Source organism: Homo sapiens, chromosome 1 (genome assembly GCF_000001405.40).
Source record: "Homo sapiens chromosome 1, GRCh38.p14 Primary Assembly".
Taxonomy (NCBI): domain Eukaryota; kingdom Metazoa; phylum Chordata; class Mammalia; order Primates; family Hominidae; genus Homo; species Homo sapiens.
In genome coordinates this window covers 46,943,643-46,968,219 of record NC_000001.11, presented here as the reverse complement: position 1 = coordinate 46,968,219, position 24,577 = coordinate 46,943,643, and the positions used below count along the sequence as shown (strand labels likewise).

The 24,577-nt window shown below is 43.5% G+C and overlaps 1 protein-coding gene and 1 pseudogene across 1 annotated transcript in view; one reads left to right on the top strand and one right to left on the bottom strand.

Annotated features, from left to right (window-relative positions):
* The window catches only part of CYP4X1 (cytochrome P450 family 4 subfamily X member 1), a 94,069-nt gene extending 87,213 nt beyond the window's left edge, over positions 1-6,856 (bottom strand). The window contains exon 1 of the mRNA NM_001320289.2: positions 6,464-6,856. Coding sequence (NP_001307218.1) covers positions 6,464-6,637 — 174 coding nt within the window. The 5' untranslated portion in view covers positions 6,638-6,856. The remainder of the gene's footprint in view (positions 1-6,463) is intronic.
* On the top strand, positions 354-739 carry CYP4A26P (cytochrome P450 family 4 subfamily A member 26, pseudogene; annotated as a pseudogene).

Sequence of the window (24,577 nt, the reverse complement as noted above, 5' to 3'; positions counted from 1 at the left end):
GGAGGCAGAAGCCTGGCCCCTAGACTGGGAAGCAAGTGAGGCAGCAGCTGAGGACCATCCATCCACAAAGTGCCCCTTCAGAAAAATTTCTAGTGCCCTTCTGACTCCCCTGCCCACCCATCTGGGCCCCTTCCTAAGGATCCTAGTCCCTGGGCATCCCTCTACATGGGGAAAACCTGAGAGTGTGGCCCACCCTCACCCTACAGTGACCTGAACTTGGCTTCCACACTGCAGAACCACACACTGTGGAAGAGTGAACAAACCATTGATTAACCCTTTAACCATTCATGAATTTCCAGCTCATAATGGGGACTGAGGCCTCTTATCAATTCACTGTCTGCCTGGCTCAGGACCTGCATTGGGAAAAAATTTGCCATGAATGAGCTAAAGGTGGCCATGGCCCTGACCCTGCTCCGCTTTGAGCTGCTGCCTGATCCCACCAGGATCCCGGTCGGCATACCATGAATTTTGCTGAAGTTCAAAAGTGGAATCCACCTGCATCTCAGGAGGGTCCCTAACCATTGTGGGGACAAGGACCAGCTCTGAGGGCCTCCACCTGCCACCCTGTCTTCCTCACCCCTGCTCCTGTCTCCTGCCTGTCTGCCCACATCCTGCTTTCTATCGGCCCACCTGCCTTCTTCCCATCTACCTGCTATCCTCCCTTCTGTACTCCATGTTGTCTGCCCTTCTTTCTCTCACCTTTCCCTAGGCTCTGTATCTGCTGCTCTACCTCTCTCCTGCCTACCTGCATCACAGACTGTCCATCCAGCAACCAATCTCCTGCCTGCCCTCCAGCCTGTCTGCCCCCATTTCTTTCTTATTCCTTCTGCCTGCTTTTCTGCTTTTGTATGAGTTTCCTATTGGTGCTGTAATTAACTACCACAACGTCAGTGCCTTAAAACAGCAGAAATTTATAGTCTTAAATGTCTGGAGGTCTCACATTTGAATTGGATTTTCTTGCTCCAAATCCAAGGTGTTGAGGGGCTCTAGGGAGAATCTCTTTTCTTCCACTTTTTCAGCTCCTAGAGCTTTGCTCTACAGGCCTATTAGTGATTGAATTAAGTCTACATAAATTATCAAGAGTTATCTCTTTTTCTTGAAGTCAACTGATTGTAGATGTTAACTACAACCACAAAATCTCTTCACAACATCTGGAATAGCATTTAATTGAATAACTGGGTATTACAGCCTGTCCAAGTTAACATGTAAAATTAAACAACACATTTCATACCTTGTCAATTTGGCATCTATACACATCCCCTTAGGGTCTACTTAATCTGCCAGTAAAAACTATGACAAAGTCATACTTTTGCTAACTCTCCTATACACAATTGGAAGTACATTAACCTTTCCCTCACAAAGGCAATGCAAAGTCATTGAATGACATTCACCCTTCTCTTTAATATTCTGTAACTTAAATACAGTGATTCTCTAAAGAGAATATTAAAGTTAACTATTATTAATATATCTAATGTTAATTGTGAATGGGATTTTGTCCAAGATGGCTGATTATAAGCAGCTGCAGTCCATGGCACTCATGAAGAGAAATGAAAAGGGGCGAGTGAATTCAGTGCCTACAACTGAAATATCCAGGTTCTTGCCTTGGGACTGACTAGGCAAACAATTCAGCCCATGGAGAATGAAGAAAAGAAAGAGGAAGGCAATGGCCCACCCAGAAGTGGCACAGAGCCAAAGAAACCCCAACCCCCAGCCAAGAGAAGCAGTGACTGATTGTACGACCCCACCCAGGAAACCACACTTCTCCCATGGATCTTTAAAACCCATGGACCAGGAGATCCTCTAGTGAGCCCAAGCCACTAGGGCCTTGGGTCAGATACACAGAGCTGTGTGGAGTCTCAGCAGAGCAGCAACTCAGGCCCACACAGCAACCCAGGAGTTTTACATAATCCAGCCCTGGGATCCTTGGCAAGGCAGAAAATCCAACCATACATATCCCTAGGAAGAGGGCTGAATCCGGCGAGCCAAGCACTGTCATTCTGTGGGCCCCATTTCCATGGCATCTCACAGGTTAAAACCCACTGGTTTGGAATTCTAGCCAACCAACAGCAGCAGCCTGGAATCTGCCTGAAAAGTGTTGAGTTTTTAGTGGGAGGAGTGGCAGCCATTTTTGCAGTTTGGTAGACTCAGCTGTTCCAGTCTGCCGGCTTTGGAGAATACAAATGGTCCAGACAAGGAAGGATCTCCCACAAAGCAGCACAGCTGCCTTGCCAGATTGTGGTCAGACTGCTTCTTTAAGCAGGACCCTGATCCATTCCTTCTCACTGAGTGAGATCTCCCTGTGGGGGCTTCCATCACTCCAGCCAGGGTTCTATGGATAGGGCTCTGGTCTCTCCCAGGATGGAGCTCCTGAGGGGAGGCGTGGCCATCATCTCCATGGTTTGGCCAACTCAGACATTCCAGCCTGCCAGCTATAGAGAATACAAATGGTCCAGATGAGGAAGGACCCCTGCTGCAATGCAGCACACCTGCTGTACTAAAAAGAAGCCAGACTGCTTCTTTAAGCTGGTCCCTGATCCTGCTCTTCTGACTGAGTGAGACCTCCCAACAGGGGTTTCCAGGTGCATTCAGGCCAGCAACAACTCAGTACCCCGCTGGGACAGAGCTTCCAGAGGAAGGAGCTGGCCTCCATCTTTGCTGTTTCACAGCCTTCACATGTGATACCTCCAGGTATCCCACCGAAGCAACAAAGGTCTGCAGTGCACTGCCAGCAAACTGCAGCAGCCCTACAGTAGAGTGGCCTGAGAGTTAAAAGAAAAACAAAAAACAGGAAACAACAACAACATCAACAAAAAAGAGTGGGGGCAGTTCCAAGATGGCTGAATAGGATCAGCTCCAGTCTACAGCTCCCAGCGTGAGCAATGCAGAAGATGGATAATTTCTGCATTTCCAACTGAGGTACTGGGTTCATCTCACTGGGTATTGTCAGACAGTGGGTGCAGGAAAGTAGGTGCAGCACAGTGGGTGCAGCACACCGAGCATGAGCCAATTCAGGGCGAGGCATCGCCTCACCCGGGAAGTGCAAGGGGTCAGGGAATTCCCTTTCCTAGCCAAGGAAAGGGGTGACAGATGGCACCTGGAAAATTGGGTCACTCCCACCCTAATACTGCACTTTTCTGATGGTCTTAGCAAATGGCACACCAGGAGACTATATCCTGTGCCTGGCTTGGAGGGTCCTACACCCAAGGTGCCTCACTCATTGCTAGCACAGCAGTCTGAGATCAAACTGCAAGGCGGCAGTGAGGCTAGGGGAGGAGCGCCCACCATTGCCGAGGCTTGAGTAGGTAAACAAAGCGGCCGGGAAGCTCGAACTGGGTGAAGCCCACTGCAGCTCAAGGAGTCCTGCCTACCTCTGTAGACTCCACCACTGGGGGCAGGGCATAGCCAAACAAAAGGCAGCAGAAACCTCTGCAGACTTAAATGTCCCTGTCTGGCATCTTTGAAGAGAGTAGTGGTTCTCCCAGCATGCAGCTGGAGATCTGAGAACAGACAGACTGCCACCTCAAGTGGGTCCCTGACCCCCAAGTAGCCTAACTGGGAGGCACCCCCAGTAGGGGCAGACTGACACCTCACATGGTCAGGTACCCCTCTGAGACAAAATTTCCAGAGGAATGATCAGGCAGCAACATCTGCTGTTCACCAATATTCACTGTTCTGCAGCCTCCACTGCTGATACCCAGGCAAACAGGGTCTGGAGTGGACCTCCAGCAAACACCAGCAGACCTGCAGCTGAGGGTCCTGACTGTTAGAAGGAAAACTAACAAACAGAAAGGACATCCACACCAAAACCCCACCTGTACGTCACCATCATCAAAGTCCAAAGGTAGATAAAACCACAAAGAAGGGGATAAAACAGAGCAGAAAAACTGGAAACTCTAAAAATCGAGCGCCTCTCTTCCTCCAAAGGAACGCAGCTTCTCACCAGCAACAGAACAAAGATGGACGGAGAATGACTTTGATGCATTGAGAGAAGGCTTCAGACGATCAAACTTATCTGAGCTAAAGGAGGAAGTTTGAACCCATGGCAAAGAAGTAAAAAACCTTGAAAAAAGATTAGACGAATGGATAACTAGAATAACCAATGTAGAGAAGTCCTTAAAGGACCTGATGGAGCTGAAAACCATGGCACGAGAACTACGTGATGAATGCATAAGCCTCAGTAGCCGATTCAATCAACTGGAAGAAAGGGTATCAGTGATGGAAGATCAAATGAATGAAATGAAGTGAGAAGAGAAGTTTAGAGAAAAAAGAATAAAAAGAAATGAACAAAGCCTCCAAGAAATATGGGACTATGTGAAGAGACCAAATCTATGTCTGATTGGTGTACCTGAAAGTGACGGGGAGAATGGAACCAAGTTGGAAAACACTCTTCAGGATATTATCCAGGAGAACTTCCCAATCTAGCAAGGCAGGCCAACATTCAGATTCAGGAAATAAAAAGAATGCCACAAAGATACTCGTCAAGAAGAGCAACTCCAAGACACATAATTGTCAGATTCACTGAAGTTGAAATGAAGGAAAAAATGTTAAGGACAGCCAGAGAGAAAGGTCAGGTCACCCACAAAGGGAAGCCCATCAGACTAACAGCTGATCTCTCGGCACAAACTCTACAAGCCAGAAGAGAGTGGAGGCCAATATTCAACATTTTTAAAGAAAAGAATTTTCCACCCAGAATTTCATATCCAGCCAAACTAAGTGAAGGAGAAATAAAATACTTTACAGACAAGCAAATGCTGAGAGATTTTGTCACCACCAGGCCTGCCTTACAAGAGCTCCTGAAGGAAGCACTAAAGATGGAAAGGAACAACCAGTACCAGCCACCGCAAAAACATGCCAGATTGTAAAGACCATCAATGCTAGGAAGAAACTGCATCAACTAATGAGCAAAATAACCAGCTAACATCATAATGACAGGATCAAATTCACACATAACAATATTAACCTTAAATGTAAATGGGCTAAATGCTCCAACTAAAAGACACAGACTGGCAAATTGGATAAAGAGTCAAGACCCATCAGTGTGCTGTATTCAGGAAACCCATCCCACATGTGGAGACACACATAGGCTCAAAATAAAGGGATGGAGGAAGATCTACCAAACAAATGGAAAACAAAAAAAAGGCAGGGGTTGCAATTCTAGTCTCTAATAAAACAGACTTTAAACCAACAAAGATCAAAAGAGACAAAGAAGGCCATTATATAATGGTAAAGGGATCAATTCAACAAGAAGAGCTAACTATCCTAAATATATATGCACCCAATATAGGAGCACCCAGATTCATAAAGTAAGTCCTTAGAGACCTACAAAGAGACTTAGACTCCCACACAATAATAATGGGAGACTTTAACACCCCACTGTCAACATTAGACAGATCAATGAGACAGAAAGTTAACAACCGATATCCAAGAATTGAATTCATCTCTGCACCAAGCAGACCTAATACATATCTACAGAACTCTCCACCCCAAATCAACAGAATATACATTCTTCTCAGAACGACACTGCACTTATTCCAAAATTGACCACATAGTTGGAAGTAAAGCACTCCTCAGCAAATGTAGAAGAACAGAAATTATAACAAACTATCTCTCAGACCACAGTGCAATCAAATTGGTTATTCTAGTTAGCCATTCGTCTAATCTTTTTTCAACGTTTTTAACTTCTTTGCCATGGACTACCAGTGTTCTCTTTACCACTGAAAACAGTAATTGGTTACTTTTTAACTAGTCAGATTAGGGAACAAATTCCAGGAAACCCAGAATCAATTCAGAAAACTCATACTTGGCCAGGCAAGGTGGCTCACTCCTGTAATCCCAACACTTTGGGAGACCGAGGTGGGCAGATCCCTTGAGGTCAGGAGTTTGAGACCAGCCTGACCAACATGGTGAAACCCCTTCTCTACTAAAAATATGAAAAATTAGCCAGGCGTGGCAGTGTGCACCTGTAATCCCAGCTACTTGGGAGGCTGAGGCAGGAGAATCACTCGAACCCGGGAGGCGGAGGCTGCAGTGAGCTATCAGGCCATTGCACTCCAGCCTGAGAAAAAAAGAGTGAAACTCCATCTTGAAAAACAAAAAAGAAAGAAAGAAAGACAGAAAAAAGAAAGCTCATACTTCAGATTCAGTCTCTTTAGTACCAGTCTTTGGACCAAAATGTGTCTTAATCAGGGATTTAGCAGAGAAACATGACCAGTGGGAAAGATGCCTATCCAGGGTAGAAGACAACCTGGCAAGAGAAAGTGCCTGGGTCCATGTCCCCTGCCAGCCAGCCAGAAGCTCTCCTCTCCCCTTCTCTGACTCCCCAAAAAGCAACTGAACCTAAGACAGGCACAAAGAGGCCAGGTTGTCTGTTTGATGGGATAACCAACTAAGTAGGGCAGGGCAGAGGTCATCCAGCACCAAGGGTCTGGGGTGGGCAAGGCAAGAAAGGCAGGTGCTTACTCACCAATCCACTGGAGGAAGAAGTCATACATATTAGGGCTTGAGGTTCTGCAAGTGAAGAAGTTGGTTGGGTCAAATAGAGACTAGGGGGTTCCCAGAGGAGGCACCTTGATAAGCAGGGTGGGAACTTCAGCTGCCCAGGCATAGGACACAGGTCCAGGCCTCCTCCCCACATCATAGCCTGAGCCCTTTGTTCTCAGGAAGAGCAGCTCTCCCAAGAACACCTCACCCCTGTGGCTACACACAGCTTTGACATAGTTGGGCTCAAATGTTCTGGAAGCCAGTGAACGGTTCAAACCAGAGTGGGTGAGTGTAGAAAAACTGGTGGGCCCAGGATACCACTTTGTTCAGTCTCCCCATCTGCTGGATCTGAAATAACAGAAGGCCAAGGCCACTTAGGAATCCAGTATCACCACTAAAGCCCGAAGTCTCTGGGAGGGCAGGGGAGGAGACTGCCCAGGCAGTCTGTGGGAGCTTCCCTCCCACTCCTGTACCTCCCTCTCCTAAACATCTCTGGTTTCAGTGCCCACTCCAGCCTCACACCCACTGTTCTAAGTCCAAGCCACCCTCTTCTTACACTGGGGTTAGCTCAACAACCTCCAAACTAGCCAACTTGCTTCCACCTCACACCTGCCACCAACTCTCTACTGCACTGCAGCCAGAAAGCACTTTCTTGTCCACATTAAAGCATTTTCTTTATAAAAGTAATAGTTGCTTGTTGTGCAATAGAGAAATTATCTCTATTCCACCCTTGTATCATTCAACACATTTAAAAAATATTTTTCAAATTGACACATAATCATTGTACATATTTAGAGGTATTTTTTGATGTTTTCATACATACAGTGTATAGCGACCATTGGCAATTAGCATAGCCATCATCTCAAACATTTGTCATTTCTTTGTGTTAGGAACACTCAATATGCTCTCTTCTATTTGAAAACATATATTGTTGTTAGCTATAGTCATCCTACAGTGCTATACCCATGAAAACTTATTCCTCCTATCTAGCTATAATTTTGTGTCCTTTAAAAAAATCTCTCACTACACCTCCCTTCCCAGACTCTACTAACCTCTGCAGACTCTACTAACCTTTTACAACTATGACATCAACTATTTTTAGCCTCTGCATAAGGGTGACAACATGCAGTTTCTTTTCCTGACTTATTTCAATTAATATAATGTCATCCAGTTCTTTCCATGTTGCCATCAATGACAGCATTTTATTTTTTTATGGCTAAACAGTAGTCCATTGTGTGTATATATTACATTTTCTTCATCCAGTCATCTGTTGTTGAACACTGGGTTGATTTCACATGTTGATTCTTGTGAATCATGCTGCAATAAACATGAAGGTACAGATATCCTTTCAGTACACTGATGTTCCTTCCTTTTCTTTCCTTTTGATAAATACCCAGCAGGAAAATTGCTGGATCACGTGTGAGTTCTCTTTGTAGGTTTTTGAGAAACCTCCATGTCATTCTCCAGTGGTTGTACTACTGTACATTCCCACCAACAGTGTATATGAGTTTCCTTTTTTGGCATTCTTCCTAGTGTTGTTTTTGTTGTTGTTGCCATTTTGTCTTTTTGATAACAATCATCCTAACTGGGATATGATATATCATTGTGCTTTTGATTTACATTTCCTTGATGATTAGTGATGTTGAGCATTATGTTCATACACCTGTTGACCATTTGTATGTCCTCTTTTGAGAAATATCTGTTCAGATCATTTGCTCATTTTTAATCAGATTTTTTTCTGAGTTGAGATGTTTGAGTTTCTTGTATACTGTGGATATTAATCTGCTGTCTGATTAGTAGTTTGCAAATCTTTTCTCCTGGCTATCTTTTCACTTTATTGATTATTTTCCTTGATATGCAGAAACTTCTTAGTTTGATATAATCTCATTTGTTCATTTTTCCTTTGGTTGCCATTGCTTTTGAGGTGTTATTCATAAAATTTTTTCCCAGACCAATGTCCTGAAGCATTTTCCCCCCATTTTATTCTAGTAGTTTTATGGTTTCAGGGTCTTAAATTTATGTCATTAATCCATTTTGAGTTGGTTCTTGCATGAGAAATAGGGGTGAGAAATAGGGGTCTAGTTTCATTCAGCTACTTATGGATATCCAGTTTTCCCAGCACTGTTTATTAAAGAGACTGTACTTTCCCAATGACTATTCTTGGCACCTTTGTCAAAAATCAGCTGACAATGGATATGTAAATTAATTTCTGTGTTCTCTATTCTCTTGCATTGTTCTACGTCTTTTTTATCCCAGGACTATTCTGTTTTGGTTATTATAGCTTTGTATATATTTTGAAGTCTGGTAGCGTGATGCCTCCAGTTTTATTCTTTTTCTCAGCATTGCTTTGACTATTGGGGTCTTTTGTGGTTCTCTATGAATGTTTGAATTTTTTTCTATTTCTGTGAAGAATGTCGCTGGTATTTTGATAAGGATTGTATTGACCCTGTATATTGCTTTGTGCAGTATGCTTATTTTAACAATATTAATTGTTCAAGTTCATGAACATGGGGTGCCTTTCCATTTTTATATGTGTCTTCTTTAATTTCTTTTATCAATGTTCTATAGTTCTCAGTATACATATTTTTCACCTCCTTGGTTAAATTTATTTTTAGGTATATTTTGTAACTATTTTAAACGGGATTCCTTTCTTAGTTTTATTTTCAACTAGTTTATGATTCGTGTATATAAATGCTACAGGTTTTGTATTTTGATTTGTATTGTGCAACTTCACTGAATTTGTTTATTGGTTGTAACAGGTTTTTTGTTTTTTGGTAGAGCATTTGGGTTTTTTCTCTTTTTTTTCTTTTTCTCTCTTTTTTTTTTTCTTTTTGCAGTTGCAAGATTTAATAGAGTGAAAACAGAGCTCCCATAAAATGGGAGGGGACCCAAAGGGGATTGCCATTGCCAGCTCGAATACTGGGTTTATATCCTGATCATTGTCCCTCCTGCTGTGCTCTCAGGCAATAGATGATTGGCTACTTCTTTGCCTCCTGTTTTAGCCTAATTAGCATTTTAGTGAGCTCTCTTTACTGCCCAATTGGTTGGGTGTGAGCTAAGTTGCAAGCCCCGTGTTTAAAGGTGGATGTGGTCACCTTCCCAGCTAGGCTTAGGGATTCTTAGTCAGCCTAGGAAATCCAGCTAGTCCTGTCTCTCAGTCCCCTTTCTCAACAGGAAAACCCAAGTGCTGTTGGGGAGGTTGGCCGATGACCATTCTAACTGCTTCCTGCTGAACTGGGGCATAGTAGGGGTCATGCAGTTGAGATTTCCTCAGGAGGGGTGCTGTCAATGTCAGTAGGGGTGCTAGCATGAGCTAGCAGGCCAGTCCAGGGGTCCACAGTAGATCTTAGTCATGGACTGCATCTGGGGCTCCATTTGAAGAATGATTTGTAGTTTTACAGCTTTGATTCTGGAAGAGATAAACTTAACAAGGAGGTTAAAGATACAGGGATTGAAATGTATGGCCTGCAGTGCAGGGGATTATTTCTTTGGCACATTTTACAGGCCCTGACTATCTGCTCGAAAGTTTTGAAAAGGTCTGGTCCAGTAGATAATAATTTGGCCTGCTGATGGGTACTATCAATGCCTAAATGAAAGGTTTGGTGAAGGGTTTTAAGTCATTTCCATTGGTTAGCTGCAGGCAAAAGTATTTTTCCTTCTTTGGTGCCTAGCCATCCTGAGGAGAGGAAACTATGTCCTCATGAGTTTCCCCATTCTATTTCTCCTGCTGAGTACTGGGGCTTGGTTTCCCAGAGGGGATTACCCCATACTAGGGGTCCTTCTATAAGTATTTCTAATGGAGGGTCCTACCTTGCAGCTATTTTGGCTTTGATATCCGTTTGGCAGTTCCCTTCTATTTCCCTTTCTTTTCCTTTCTGATGACCCCGGCAGCATAAGATTGCCACCTCTTTAGGTTTCTGTACAGCCGATAATAATCTCCTGATGGCTTCCTGATGTTTGATGGGTGTTCCTTTGGAAGTCAGGAATTTCCTTTCTCTCCATATTGCTGTGTGGGCATGGAGGACTAGCTAAGCATACTTAGAGTCTGTATATATATTTACCCTTTTTCCTTCTCCTAATTCTATTGCCTGAGTGAGAGCTATTCGTTCTTCCAGCTAAGCGCTTCTTCCTGGAGTGAGGGGATTATTTTCAAGTATTCCATTATCACTGACCACTGCATACCCCACTTTTCAAAGTCCTTTTTCTACAAAGGAATTTCCATCAGCATACAAGTTGAGATCATGATCAGTCAAGGGAACCTCTAGAAGGTCCCCTTGAGTGGTGTAGGTTTGAGCAGTTACTTGTTGACAGTTATGTTTTATTTTTTCTTCATTGTCTGGAAGAAATGTGGCTGGATTAAGAGTTGCACAAGGGCGCAGTCGCAGCACTGGCCCTTCAAGTAATAGATGCTGATATTTAAGCAAATGGTTGTCTGACATCCACAAGTCTCCTTTAGCAGTGAGTATGCCATTCACATCTTGAGATGTTCACACAGTAAGATCTCTTCCCTGTATCATTTTAACTGCTTCAGATACTAATACTGCTACTGCTGCCACTACCCATAAACGATGAGGCCAACCCTTTGCCACTACATCAATTTCCTTACTCAGGTATGTCACAGGTTGCAAGCTGGTCCGTCAGACCTGTGTAAGGACTCCTAGAGCTATTCCTGTTTTTTCTGTGACATATAAAGAAAAGTCTTGCCACGTTGGCAAGCTTAACACTGGAGCTTAGGTTAGGGCCTTCTTTAGGGCCTGGAAAGTCACTTCTGCTTCAGGTGTCCATCTTACTAAATGGGTATTGCCTTTCTGAGTTTCCTTAATTAGTGTATATAATGATCTGGCTATTTTGCTGTACCAGGGAATCTATATTCAGCAGAAGCCTGTTATGCCAAGGAACGCTCTTAGTTGCTTTACGGTTTTGGGATGAGGAAAAGCCAGGATAGGCTGGATATGTTCCTCACTGAGGGCCCTGGTGCCTTTGGATAATTTTAGCACTAAGTATTTAACCTACTGTGAGCAGAGCTGATCCTTTTGTTTGGAAACCTTATAGCACAGGTGGAGAGGAAATTAAAGAATGCTTGGGTGGCTTGATGGCACAAGGTTTCTGAAAGGGCAGCTAAAAGTAAATCATCCATGTGCTGAAGGAGAGGAGTGTCCAGGTATGAGAACTGGCTCAAGTCTTGAGCTAGTGCCTGGCCAAATAGATGGGGGCTATCCCTGAACCCTTGGGGTAAAACAATCCAGGTGAGTTGAGATGTTGGGTTTGAAGGATCTTCAAAGGCAAACAAGAATTGAGAGTCAGGATGTACAGGGATGCAGAAAAAGACATCCTTAAGGTCCAGGACTGTAAACCACTCTGCTTCCTCTGGTATTTGGGAAAGCAGAGTATAAGGGTTAGGTACAGCTGGGTGTAGAGGGACAACGGCCTCATTGATAATCCTGAGATCTTGCACTAGCCTCCACTGCCCGTTGGGTTTCTGTACTCCTAAAATTGGAGTACTGCAGTGGCTATTGCATGTTTTTACTAGGCCTTGGGCTTTTAGGTCCTTAACAATCCTTTGGAGCCCTTGCTAGGCCTCGGGTCTAAGGGGGTACTGCCTTTGGTAGGGAAAGGAGGTGGAATCCTTTAGTTTAACTTGAACAGGGCAGGCATTCTTTGCTCATCCATATTGTCCTTCTGTTGCCCAGACTTCAGGATTAATTCCTTCCTCAAGCAGGGGACAACAAATGAGTGTTCCTTCTCCTATGTTCAGGTGTATAATGGCCCCTGCTTTTGCTAGAATGTCTCCTCCTAACAAGGAAGTGGGGCTTTCAGGCATAACTAGAAAAGCATGTCAAAAGAGTAAATGTCTCCAGTCACAACTTAGTGGCTGGGAGAAGTATCTAGTGATTGGCTGTCCTAGGACCCCTTGGATAGTGACAGATCTGGAGGACAGTTGTCTAGGACAGGAGAGTAAGACTGAGAAGGCTGCACCAGTGTCCAGGAGACAGTTAACCCCCTGGCCCTCAATGATCAAGCATACCCGAGGCACTGTGAGGGTGATGGCATGGGCTGGTGCTTACCCTGGGCATCCTCAGTCCTTCTGCTGGATCACCTGGTTAGTGGCTTCTGACTCAGAGGACCTTCATCTCCTGGGACAGTGGGCCTTCCAGTGATTCCCTTGACATAAGGGGCATGGACGAGGTGGTGGCTTATTTCTATTCAGGCAATCTTTTTTAAAGTGTCCTTGTAGACCACACTGGAAGCAAGCCCTATTAGGCATTCAATTTGCCCAGCTTTCTGTGTTCCAGAGCCTCCAAAGTCTGCTTGCCTGAGGGCCATGACTAAAGCCGTGGCCTTTTTCTTCTCTTGTTTCTCCCATTGTGCCTGCTCCTCCTGATCTCTATTATAAAAAAAACAAGGTTGCCAAGTTCAATAGTTCTAATAGCTCTATTAGAAGCCATGGGTCATGGGGCTATGAACCCAGTAACTAAGTTTTGCTCTGGGCCTAAGGCGGACTTTTGAAGTTTTTTTCTAATGTCTGCAGCTGACTGAGTGATAAACTTATCCTTTAAGATTAGTTAGCCTTCAATAGAGTCAGGTGACAGAGAGGTATGCTTCCTCAATGCCTCCCTTAGTTTCTGCAGAAAGGCAGTAGGATTTTCTTCCTTTCTCTGTGTTACAGTGGACATAATTGAATAATTTATGGGCTATCTCCTACTTTTCCTTAGTCCTTGTATCACCCAAGTTAGCAAATATCTGTGGCACCAATCTCCATGATCCGATTCTGTGTCCCAGTGAGTGTCTACACGGGGAACTGCATGCAGGCCTGTGGGGAATTGTTCTCTTTCCTCTGTTGTCATCCTATCATTGACCTGACTGAGATACAAGAGATGACCAAACTCTCAGGCTGCAGTTATGGCGGCAATTCTCTTATTTGGGGTTAGTGTCTGATCTAGCAGTAACATTATATCTCTCCATGTCAGATGAAAGGATCGTCCTAACACTTGTAAAACATCAAAATATCTATCAGTCTTAGCTGAGAATTTACCTAGGTCTATTTTAATTTGCTTCAAGTCTGACAGGGAAAAAGGTATGTACACTCTGACTGGGCATAATTGTCCAGAATACATCTTAGGGGCATTTTTGCCTTGGGGGAAATGTTTCCCATTTGAAAATAAAACATAGGGATGCCAGCACTCTTAGTCATTTTCTGATGAGCATTAGACCTAGAGCATCCTCTATGGAGCTAATGCTTATTCCTTTCAGGTGCGTAACCACTCAAGGACCTCTGCTTTTCAGATTAGTTACTTTCAATGATGTAGCAGTCCTCCACCTATTTTCCTGCCTTTCCTGACCACTAAGAAAGGGGATGGGGCTGCTGGGTTCTAGAGGTCCTTTACCAGCATATCCAACACTGCTGTTGCACTCAGAGATGAGTTCCTTTCTAGGGTGCATAGCCACCAGTGGACCTCTGCTTATTGGATTAGTTACGTTCACCAATGGGGCAGTCCTGAACCAGTTTTCCCACCTTTCTTGACCACAAAGAAAGGGGTCCAGGCTGCTGGATTCTAGTGGTCCTTTACCAGCATGCCTGACATTGCCATTGCACTCAGGGGTGAGTTCTAGAGTTGCACTGGGTTCCTGAGTATTTCCTAATAACCCAGATGCCCCATCAAGATGCATTCCTACAAGCAACAGTTCTCTCTTATGCAAATTCATTTCAGAGAGGATGCGGGTAAACTTTGAGTCAGGATTGAGATAGAGCTTTTTGATTCTGTAAGTACTTTAAGGCTTGGCTGAGTGCAAACAGCTCACACGTTTGAGGAGACCAGTTATTAGGCAATTTTCTTAACTCTGCATCTACAGGAGTTTCCTTCAATTATTGAATACCCATTGTGTTTTTTTCTCAATCACCTGGGAGGAACCATCTGTTGTCCTGTCCTGAAGGGAGTTCCTCCTAGGTGTGGTTGAACCTTTGTATGGTAATTAAGATTTAAATCCCCTGTCAGAAAATCTGCTGGGGGAAGGGAATTTTCAGTGGTTAATGTTAAATTATCATTTTTTAACAGAATAGCTCCATACTTTCAGATTTTTGAGTTAGTAACCTACCCTTTTTGCTTTTTTAACTTAGGATAGTTCTGAACTGGTGAGGTGGGCTCACAATGAGGTTTCCTCTAAAGGCTAATTTTCTACTTTCTTCTGTTAGGAAAGTAGTTGCCGCAAAAGATTGAATGCATCTGGGCCATTGGCAGGTTCCTGGGTTAAGGATTTTTGATAGGAAGGCCACTGGTTGTCAGTGGCCTCAGTGCTTTTGGGCTATGCCCTTGTTTACAATGACAACAAAGTGGTATTGGAGTGTTATAGGGTCATGGAGAAAACCTTAAATCATCAATTATAGGTTTTAAATTAACCCTGGCTTTTAAAGAAACAGGGTACACTGTTTTTTCTTTACTACTTCTATCTTTCTCTTTCTCTCTTTCTTTCTCCTTTCTGTCTTTGTAGATGCATTTTGGAAACAGAATGGAAGGATGTTCGCTGGTTGCCCCCATTTGCCACTATAGGAATATGTGCCTCCCTTTTATTTACTCAATTTGCTTTCATCTTGATCTAGTATGTTGTTGTAGACCCAATTCCAGTTGTTAGAGTACTAGGTTATCAGTTCTAAGGCCCTGGCAAGGGTGGTGGGGAACGGGTCCCACATAACTGCCCATGTGGAGAGCTGTATGCCTAAATTGGGAGGGACACCGGGGACAAGACTCCCTGGGTTCATAGCCTAGGGGCCTGAGGATGCAGCATAGAGCTTCCTTAGATCCCTTTGGAGATACAACCTGTTCTAATACTTGGGAGAGGAAGTGAAAGCCTGAAGCATTAGTATCTAGGAGGCAGGGATCAAAGGAAGTCAATTCAGAAGTAAGGAGAATTTTGGGGCTACACTTTCAAGAAAGTCATGGTCAGGACCCAGGAGGTATGGGTCAGAAGGAAAGGTAGGGGCGTATGCATGAGTGAATGCTGAGTAGAGACTTCTGGCTGTGCCATGATCTCAACTGGCTAATGCCAGCAGTTTGGGACGTCAGCTTTCTGCCTCTAGTCCACCCTTGACTTCCCCAGGAATATTGAAAGCAGAAGCTGGTTCCAGGCAGACCAACACTCCCAACCCATAAAAGGCTGGGGTTGTTAGAAAGCCCTTTCCCAGACAGCCTCACACCTGAGTCTTAAGTCCAGTGGCCACACTAATCGTTTTTAACCAGCTGACAGGCACCTGGTATTTTCCTCCAATTCTAAGGAAGGATAGGACAGAGTAGCAAGAGAAAGTGGTCCAATATTACTCACCACTTTGGACGTGCCTTCGTGGTGGCCAAAATGTTATTGGGGGGTGGTCCTTGTTCTTAGAGCTCCCAAGATGATGGTGGGCCACTTCCAAGATGGTGACAAGCCTCTTTTTCTCTGACCTGGGGTTCTTGGCTTCACAGATTCCAAGGAATGGAATATTGGGCCATGTAGTGAGTGTTATAGCTCTATCAGAAGCCATGGGACATGGAAGAGAACCGAGGAACCCAGCGACTAGTATTCAGCTTGATTAGGATGAACCTGGGCCCTTAACTGTGCAGGAACAATGGCCAGCCTTTAGCCCACTTGGGAGTGGCAATGGGTGCCTTGCTGGATCAGGAGTGCCACTGACACCCTGCTGGATCTGGAGGGATGGAAGTCAGTGGCAGGTCTGCGGGAAAACAGACGTGGTGAATGGCAAGCGATAGCTCAGCTCAAGCCATAACAAACATAGACCAGAAGAGTGTGCAGTTGCAAGATTTAATAGAGTGAAAACAGAGCTCCCATAAAATGGGAGGGGACCCAAAGGGGGTTGCCAGGTTTTTTCAGTATATAATATTATGTCCTCTGTAAACAAGGACAATTTCACTTCTTCCTTTCTAATTTAGCTGTCCCTTATTTCTACTTTTGCATAATTGCTCTAGCAAGTGCTTCCAATACTATGTTGAATATGAATGGTGAGATACAGCATCCTTGTCTTGTTGTGGTTCTTAAAGGACACACTTTCAGCTTTTCCCCCAATCAGTTTGCTAGCCACAGGTTTTTCATAAATGGCCTTTATTCTGTTTAAAACATTTTCATTGAGGACCTACATGTGCAGGGCTCTCTTCCAGACATCTCAGAGAACAGAGACCGAAATCATTCTGCCCTTTCATTCTATGGGAAGTACAGATAATAGACAGACAATTTAGTAAAATAATCACAGACAGCAATGAGTGCTGAGAATAAAGACAGTGCTATGAGAGACACTAAAGGGAAGGACATGCTTAAACAGGTGATCTTGGAAGGCCTCTTGTTATAGACAAGACTTAAGGTGAAACTTGAAGGATGGTGAGACTCTGGCTGTGTGAAGCACAAGGGAGGAACATTCAATGTGGGAGGGACAGCAAGCACAAAGGCTCTGGGGTGGGAAAGATCATGATGTATTTTAGGAGCTGCCCCATGGTGAGACAGTCACCTGAGAAGAGGTTGAGGAGATCACACAGAGGGTGACATGTGCCCTATATCAGGGTATGATAAGAATGAAGAAGGATAATGGCTAAAAACACTTTGCTCCATGCCCAGCACCTAGGAAGTATTATCCTAAGGATACTCAGATATTAGCAAAACTGAAGTTAGGAATTTGAAATGATGATCCTGACACTCACACTCACATGCTTTGTAATCTGAAAGTCACTTAACATCTCTGGGCCTTGGTTCACCTGTCTGTAAAATAAGGTTAATGTTAATGACACCTAGTAAATTAAGGAGTAGCTGTGATTTTGCTTAGCAAAGGTTAAGCACTCAGCAAATACAGAAGAGACATTTTGAGGCTTAATGGCATGCTGGCACTGTGCAAGGTACTGAGGTAAGAAAACCTCCCTTTCTCAGAATCACCTCTGCCTCTCATTCCAGGAAGGAAGTGATGATACCGAAGGTCCTCAGCTAAAACTAAACATATTTCTGTACAAGAAATGTAAAGTTACATCAGCATCAAACTCACCTTTATCAAAACCCAGAAATCAAGTCCCTGGGCTGATCTACCCACAGGAGTAACTGCTTCAAGAAGCCACCAAGGGGCCGGGCGCGGTGGCTCACGCCTGTAATCCCAGCACTTTGGGAGGCCGAGGCGGGCGGATCACGAGGTCAGGAGATCGAGACCATTCGGCTAAAACGGTGAAACCCCGTCTCTACTAAAAAATACAAAAAATTAGCCGGGCGTAGTGGCGGGCACCTGTAGTCCCAGCTACTTGGGAGGCTGAGGCAGGAGAATGGCGTGAACCCGGGAGGTGGAGCTTGCAGTGAGCCGAGATCCCGCCACTGCACTCCAGCCTGGGCGACAGAGCGAGACTCCGTCTCAAAAAAAAAAAAAAAAGAAGCCACCAAGGGACATCTTGGTGTTCCCTCCTCTGCCTTGGCTTGCCTAAACACTGAATCAGGAAATATTCAGCAACAAAAATGTCAGTTTCATTTTTACAATGTGGCATTCAAAACTGAACTGAGTCTCTTCAGGATGGTGATATAACCAGTTCAAAGTTTTGCTTATTCCAGCTGTCCCTCATTGATTCAATCAGTAGGTATTTCTTGGGCATCATCAACAGACACAGTCATCTGCTTCATGCAATGGGAAGCAAAGGACACAGCAGCTGAGTTACCACCTTTCAGGAGTTTTTGTGGAGGCATCTGAGTAGTAAATAAATGGGATAGGCCAGGCTTAGTGTCTCACACCTGTAATCCCAGCACTTTGGGAGGCCAAGGTGGGTGGATCGCCTGAGGTCAGGAGTTTGAGAACAGCCTGGCCAACATGATGAAACCCTGTCACTACTAAAAGTATAAAAATTAGCCAGGCATGGTGGTGGGTGCCTGTAATCCCAGCTACTCAGGAGCCTGATGCAGGAGAATCACTCTAACCAAGGAGGCTGAGGTTTCAGTGAGCTGAGATCGTGCCACTGCACTCCAGTTGGGGTGACAGAGCAAGGCTCTGTCTCAATAAATAAATAAATAAATACATAAATAAATAAATAAGTGGGATAGATATATACTTGTTAATAAGTCTTGACAATCACAAGCACACTTTTCTAAGAGTTACATTCATACTCTACAGATGGCTCTATATTCTGCTTTTATCACTTTCCCATATGCTTTACTCATATCATTAAACATTCTCCATAAACATCGCTTTCAATGACTATGCTACACCTAGCCCCATGGTTGCCATTCAGTTTCTCACAGGAGCTGCCCTGGATAATGAGACTTGCATTTATGCCAATATGGGGAGTTCATAATCTGACACATCTTCTTGCTATTTGAAAATACTGAATAAAACATAGCAAACATGAAATGCTCCCTGGAAAGTTTACGGGGTGCCATCTGGACTGGAGGCTCAACTTAATCATGACCTCATTTAAATGAATGGTTAACAGGAAAGTCTCTGGAGCCTGACTGCCTGGGTTACAATCCTGGCTGTACCTCTTACCAACTGGGGATTCTGGACAGGGAGCTACCCTGATTGCACCTTAGCTTTCCCACCTATAATATGAAGATTTTTTTAAAAATCTCTTTTGCAGAGTTTTTGCAAAGAAAGCATGTAAAGTTTTGGCTGCATGGCCAGAACATAACAAATGCTCACTAAATGTTGGCCATTACCACATTTTGAGCCCAATTCTAAAGAAATTGAGAATCTAGGGAGGGGAAAAAAAAAAAGCACAACGAGAATTCAAAGCTAAAATCTCTGACTTCAGAGCTACTGTTGCTCATGCTATGGGAGAAAAACAGGTGCTGATCCAAGTAGGGAAAGAGTCAGGGTCCAAGAGTCCCCAGTCGGGGTTAGGGAGGGAGTGATGGATGGTGGAAAGTAGTCACAGAACTAGGGGAGGTTGGGTGGATTGAAGTGTAAATAGTTACATGTCCCTACTCTTTGGTTTGGATAGGAGCCCAGGATTTGAGGCAGAAAGAAAAGAACTCTGATTCTCTGGGTTCTGGAATGAGTCACCTGCCATGAGTGGGGCTAAGGAGGAAGGTGTTGGGCATAAGAGTTTAGATGGATTAGGGAGCAGGAGGAAATCGGGCCCCCGGGAGAGCTGACTTCCAAGGAATTCTTTCTGAAATCTACTTTGATTTATGTTCTGAATTGATGACCTTTGGTATGACCTTGTGGAGATAATTATGAAAAAAGTGAGAGGAGTGGTAATTTGAAGAGGAGCTCATCCCATTTCTGCTCTTTCATGTATGATCTCCATGAATCTGCCAGTGCTTTTTCCTTTTTCTAGTATTTACCAACTGGTAAACTCCTCTTCGTCCTTAAAGACCTCTTTACTTATTTATTTTCTCTGTCTCTGAATGGCCCAAGCCCATGATTTATTGCTTCAGTACACCCTCTATAATGTTTTAACACAATAATTTATTTTTCTTTCTTTAGCTACTAAAAGGTGAGGTTAAAAAAAAACCTTTGTTTTTGAATAAATAAATGAGTGAATAAGTGTATAATTCTATGAGATATTCAGAGAAGTGCCTGTAATCCCAGCACTTTGGGAGGCCAAGGTGGGTGGATCACGAGGTCAGGAGATCAAGATATTGAGAGAAGTGATTGTTATCCCACCCATTTTAGTTTTCTAGGGCTATTGTGAAAAAAAAAAATACCAGAAAGTTGGTGGATGTAGCAGTCCTGCACCTGTTTTCCCACCTTTCTTGACCACAAAGAAAGGGGTCCAGGCTGCTGGATTCTAGTGGTCCTTTACCAGTGTGCCCGACATTGCCATTGTGCTCAGGCATGAGTTCTAGAGCTGGGCTGGGTTCCTGAGTATTTCCTAATAACCCAGATGCCCCATCAAGATGCATTCCTACAAGCAACAGTTCTCTCTTATGCAAATTCATTTCAGAGAGGGTGTGGGTAACCTTTTGAGTCGGATTGAGATAGAGTTTTTTGATTTTGTAAGTACTTTAAGGCTTGGCTGAGTGCAAACAGCTCACATGTTTGAGCAGACCAGTTATTAGGCAATTTTCTTAACTCTGCTTCTACAGGAGTTTCCTTCAATTACTGAATACCCATTGTGTTTTTTTCTCAATCACCTGGGAGGAACCATCTATTGTCCTGTCCTGAAGGGAGTTCCTCCTAGGTCTGGTTGGACCTTCGTATGGTAATTAAGATTTAAATCCCCCGTCAGGAAATCTGCTGGGGGAAGGGAATTTTCAGTGGTTAATGTGAAACTATTTTTTCTAACAGAATAGCCCCATACTTTAAGATTTTTGAGTTAGCAACCTACCCTTTTTGCTTTTTTGACTTAGGATAGTTCTGAACTGGTGAGGTGGTCACAATGAGGTTTCCTCTAAAGGCTAATTTTCTACTTCCTTCTGTTAGGAAAGCAGTTGCCACAAAATATTGAATGCATGTGGGCCATCTGCAGGTTTCTGGGTTAAGGATTTTTGATAGGAAGGCCACTGGTTGTCAGTGGCCTCAGTGCTTTTGGGCTATTCCCTTGTTTACACTGACAACAAAGTGGTATTGGAGTGTTACAGGGTCACAGAGAAAACCTTAAATTATCAATTATAGGTTTTAAATTTACCGTGGCTTTTAAAGAAATAGGGTACACTGTTTTTTCTTTACTACTTCTATCTTTCTCCTTCTCTTTCTCCTTTCTGTCTTTGTAGATGGATTTTGGAAACACAGTGGAAGGATGTTCGCTGGTTGCCCCCATTTGCCACTATAGGAATATGTGCCTCCCTTTTATTTACTCAATTTGCTTTCATCCTGATCTAGTATGTTGTTGTAGACCCAATTCCAGTTGTTAAAGTACTAGGTTATCAGTTCTAAGGCCCTGGCAAGGGTGGTGGGGAACGGGTCCCACATAACTGCCCATGTGGAGAGCTGTATGCCTAAATTGGGAGGGACACCAGGTATAAGACTCCCTGGGTTCATAGCCTAGGGGCCTGAGGATGCAGCATAGAGCTTCCTTAGATCCCTTTGGAGATACAACCTGCTCTAATACTTGGGAGAGGAAGTGAAAGCCTGAAGCATTAGTATCTAGGAGGCAGGGATCAGAGGAAGTCGATTCAGAAGTAAGGAGGATTTTGGGGCTACACTTTCAGGAAAGTCGTAGTCAGGACCCAGGAGGTATGGATCAGTAGGAAAGGTAGGGGCACACGCATCGGCCTGTTGTGGGGTGGGGGGAGGGTGGTGGGATAGCATTAGGAGATATACTTAATGTAAATGATGAGTTAATGGGTGAAGCACTCCAACATGGCACATGTATACATATGTAACACACCTGCGAGTTGTGCACATGTATCCTAGAACTTAACGTATAATATAAAAAAAAAAGAATGAAATCATGTCCTCTTCAGCAACATGGATACAGCTGGAAGCCATTACCCTAAGCCGATTAACACAGTAACAGAAAGCCAAATACTGCATGTTATCACTTATAACTGGGACCTAAACATTGGATACACATAGACACAAAGATGGGAATGGCAGACACTGAGGACTCCAAAAAGGGATGTGATGGAGGGAGGGGGAAAGGATGGAAAAGCTACCTATTAGGTACTGTGTTCACTACCTGGGCTAGGAGCCCAAACTTCAGCATCATGCGATATACTCATGTAACAAACCTGCACATGTACCCTCTGAATCAAAAATTTAACAAATAATATTTTACAAAAAGAGAAAAAAAGAAATAAAGCCATGCACCTACAGCCATCTGATCCTCAACAATGTTGACAAAAATAAGCAATGGGAAAAGGACTCCCTATACAATAAATAGTACTGGGAAAACTGGGTGACCATATGCAAAAGAATGCAACTGGACCCTGACTTTTCACCATATAACAATTAAGTTAAGATGGATTAAAGGGGCCGGGCACGGTGGCTCACGCTTGTAATCCCAGCACTTTGGGAGGCCGAGGTGGGCAGATCACGAGGTTAGAAGGTCGAGACCATCCTGGCTAATATGGTGAAACCCCATCTCTACTAAAAATACAAAAAATTAGCTGGGCGTGGTGGTGGGCACCTGTAGTCCCAGCTACTCAGGAGGGTGAGGCAGGAGAATGGCATGAACCTGGGAGGCTGAGCTTGCAGTGAGCCAACATCAAAAAAAAAAAAAAAAAAAGACAAGATCGATTAAAGGTTTAAATGTAAGACCTGAAACTATAAGAATCCTAGATGAAAACCTAGGAAACATGATGATTTACATCAGCCTTGAGAAAGAATTTATAACTAAGTCCTCAAAAGCAATTGCAAAAAAGTAAAAATTCACAAGTGGGACTTAATTAAACTGCTTCTGTACAGCAAAAGAAACTTGAGCAAAGTAAACAGACAACCTACAGAATGGAAGAAAATATTCATAAACTATGCATCTGACAAAGGTCTAATATCCAGAATCCCTAAAGAAATTAAACAATTCATTTTTTTATTATACTTCAAGTTCGGAGATACATGTGCAGAAAGTGCAGGTTTGTTACATTGGTATACATGTGCCATGGTGGTTTGCTGCACCCATCAACCCGTCATCTACATTAGGTATTTCTCCTAATGCTATCCCTCCCCTAACCCCCCATGCCAGATAGGTCCCTGTGTGTGATGTTCCCCTCCCTGTGTCCATGTGTTCTCATTGTTCCACTCCCACTTATGAGTGAGAACAAGTGGTGTTTGGTTTTCTGTTCTTGTGTTAGTTTGCTGAGAATGATGGTTTCCAGCTTCATCCATGTCCCTGCAAAGGACATGACCTCATCCTCTTTTATGGCTGTATAGTGTTCCATGGTGTATACGTGCCACAGTTTCTTTATCTAATCTATCATTGATGGGCATTTGGGTTGGCTCCAAGTCTTCTATTGTGAACAGTGCTGCAATGAACATACATGTGCATGTGTCTTTATAGTAGAATGATTTATAATCCTTTGGGTATATACCCAGTAATGGGATTGCTGGGTCAAATGGTATTTCTGGTTCTAGACCTTCGAGGAATTGCCACACTGCCTTCCACAATGGTTGAATTAATTTGCACTCCCACCAACAGTGTAAAAGCATTCCTATTTCTCCACATCCTCTCCAGCATCTGTGGTTTCCTGACTTTTTAATGATTGCCATTCTAACTGGCATGAGATGGTATCTCATTGCGGTTTTGGTTTGCATTTCTCTAATGACCAGTGATGATGAGCTTTTTTTGCTGTTTTTTTGGCTGCATAAATGTCTTCTTTTGAGAAGTGTCTGTGCATATCCTTTGCCCACTTTTTGATGGGGTTGTTTTTTTCTTGTGAATTTGTTTAGGTTCTTTGTAGATTCTCGATATTAGCCCTTTGTCAGATGGATAGATCGCAAAAATTTTCTCCCATTCTGTAGGTTGCCTTTTCACTCTGATGATAGTTTCTTTTGCTCTGCAGAAACTCTTTAGCTTAATCAGATTCCATTTGTCAACTTTGGCTTTTGTTGCCATTGCTTTTGACGTTTTGGACATGAAGTCCTTGCCCCTGCCTATGTCCTGAATGGTATTGCCTAGGTTTTCTTCCAGGCTTTTTATGGTTTTACATCTTAAGTTTAAGTTTTTAATCCATCTTGAAATAATTTTTGTGTAAGGTTTAAGGAAGGGTCCAGTTTCAGTTTTCTGCATATGGCTAGCCAGTTTTCCCAACACCATATATTAAATAGGGAACCCTTTCCCCATTGCTTGTTTTTGTCAGGTTTATCAAAGATCAGATAATTGTAGATAAGTGGTGTTATTTCTGAGGCCTCTGTTCTGTTCCATTGGTCTGTATATCTGTTTTGGTACCAGCACCATGCTGTTTTGGGTACTGTAGCCTTGTAGTGTAGTTTGAAGTCAGGTAGCATGATGCCTCCAGCTTTGTTCTTTCTGCTTAGGATTGCCTTGGCAATGGGGGCTCTTTTTTTATTCCATATGAAATTTAAAGTAGTTTTTTCTAATTCTGTGAAGAAAGTCAATGGTAGCTTGATGGGAATAGCATTGAATCTATAAATTACTTTGGGCAGTACGGCCATTTTTACTATATTGTTTCTTCCTATCCATGAGCATGGAATTTTTTTCCATTTCTTTGTGTCCTCTTTCATTTTGTTGAGCAGTGGCTTGTAGTTCTCCTT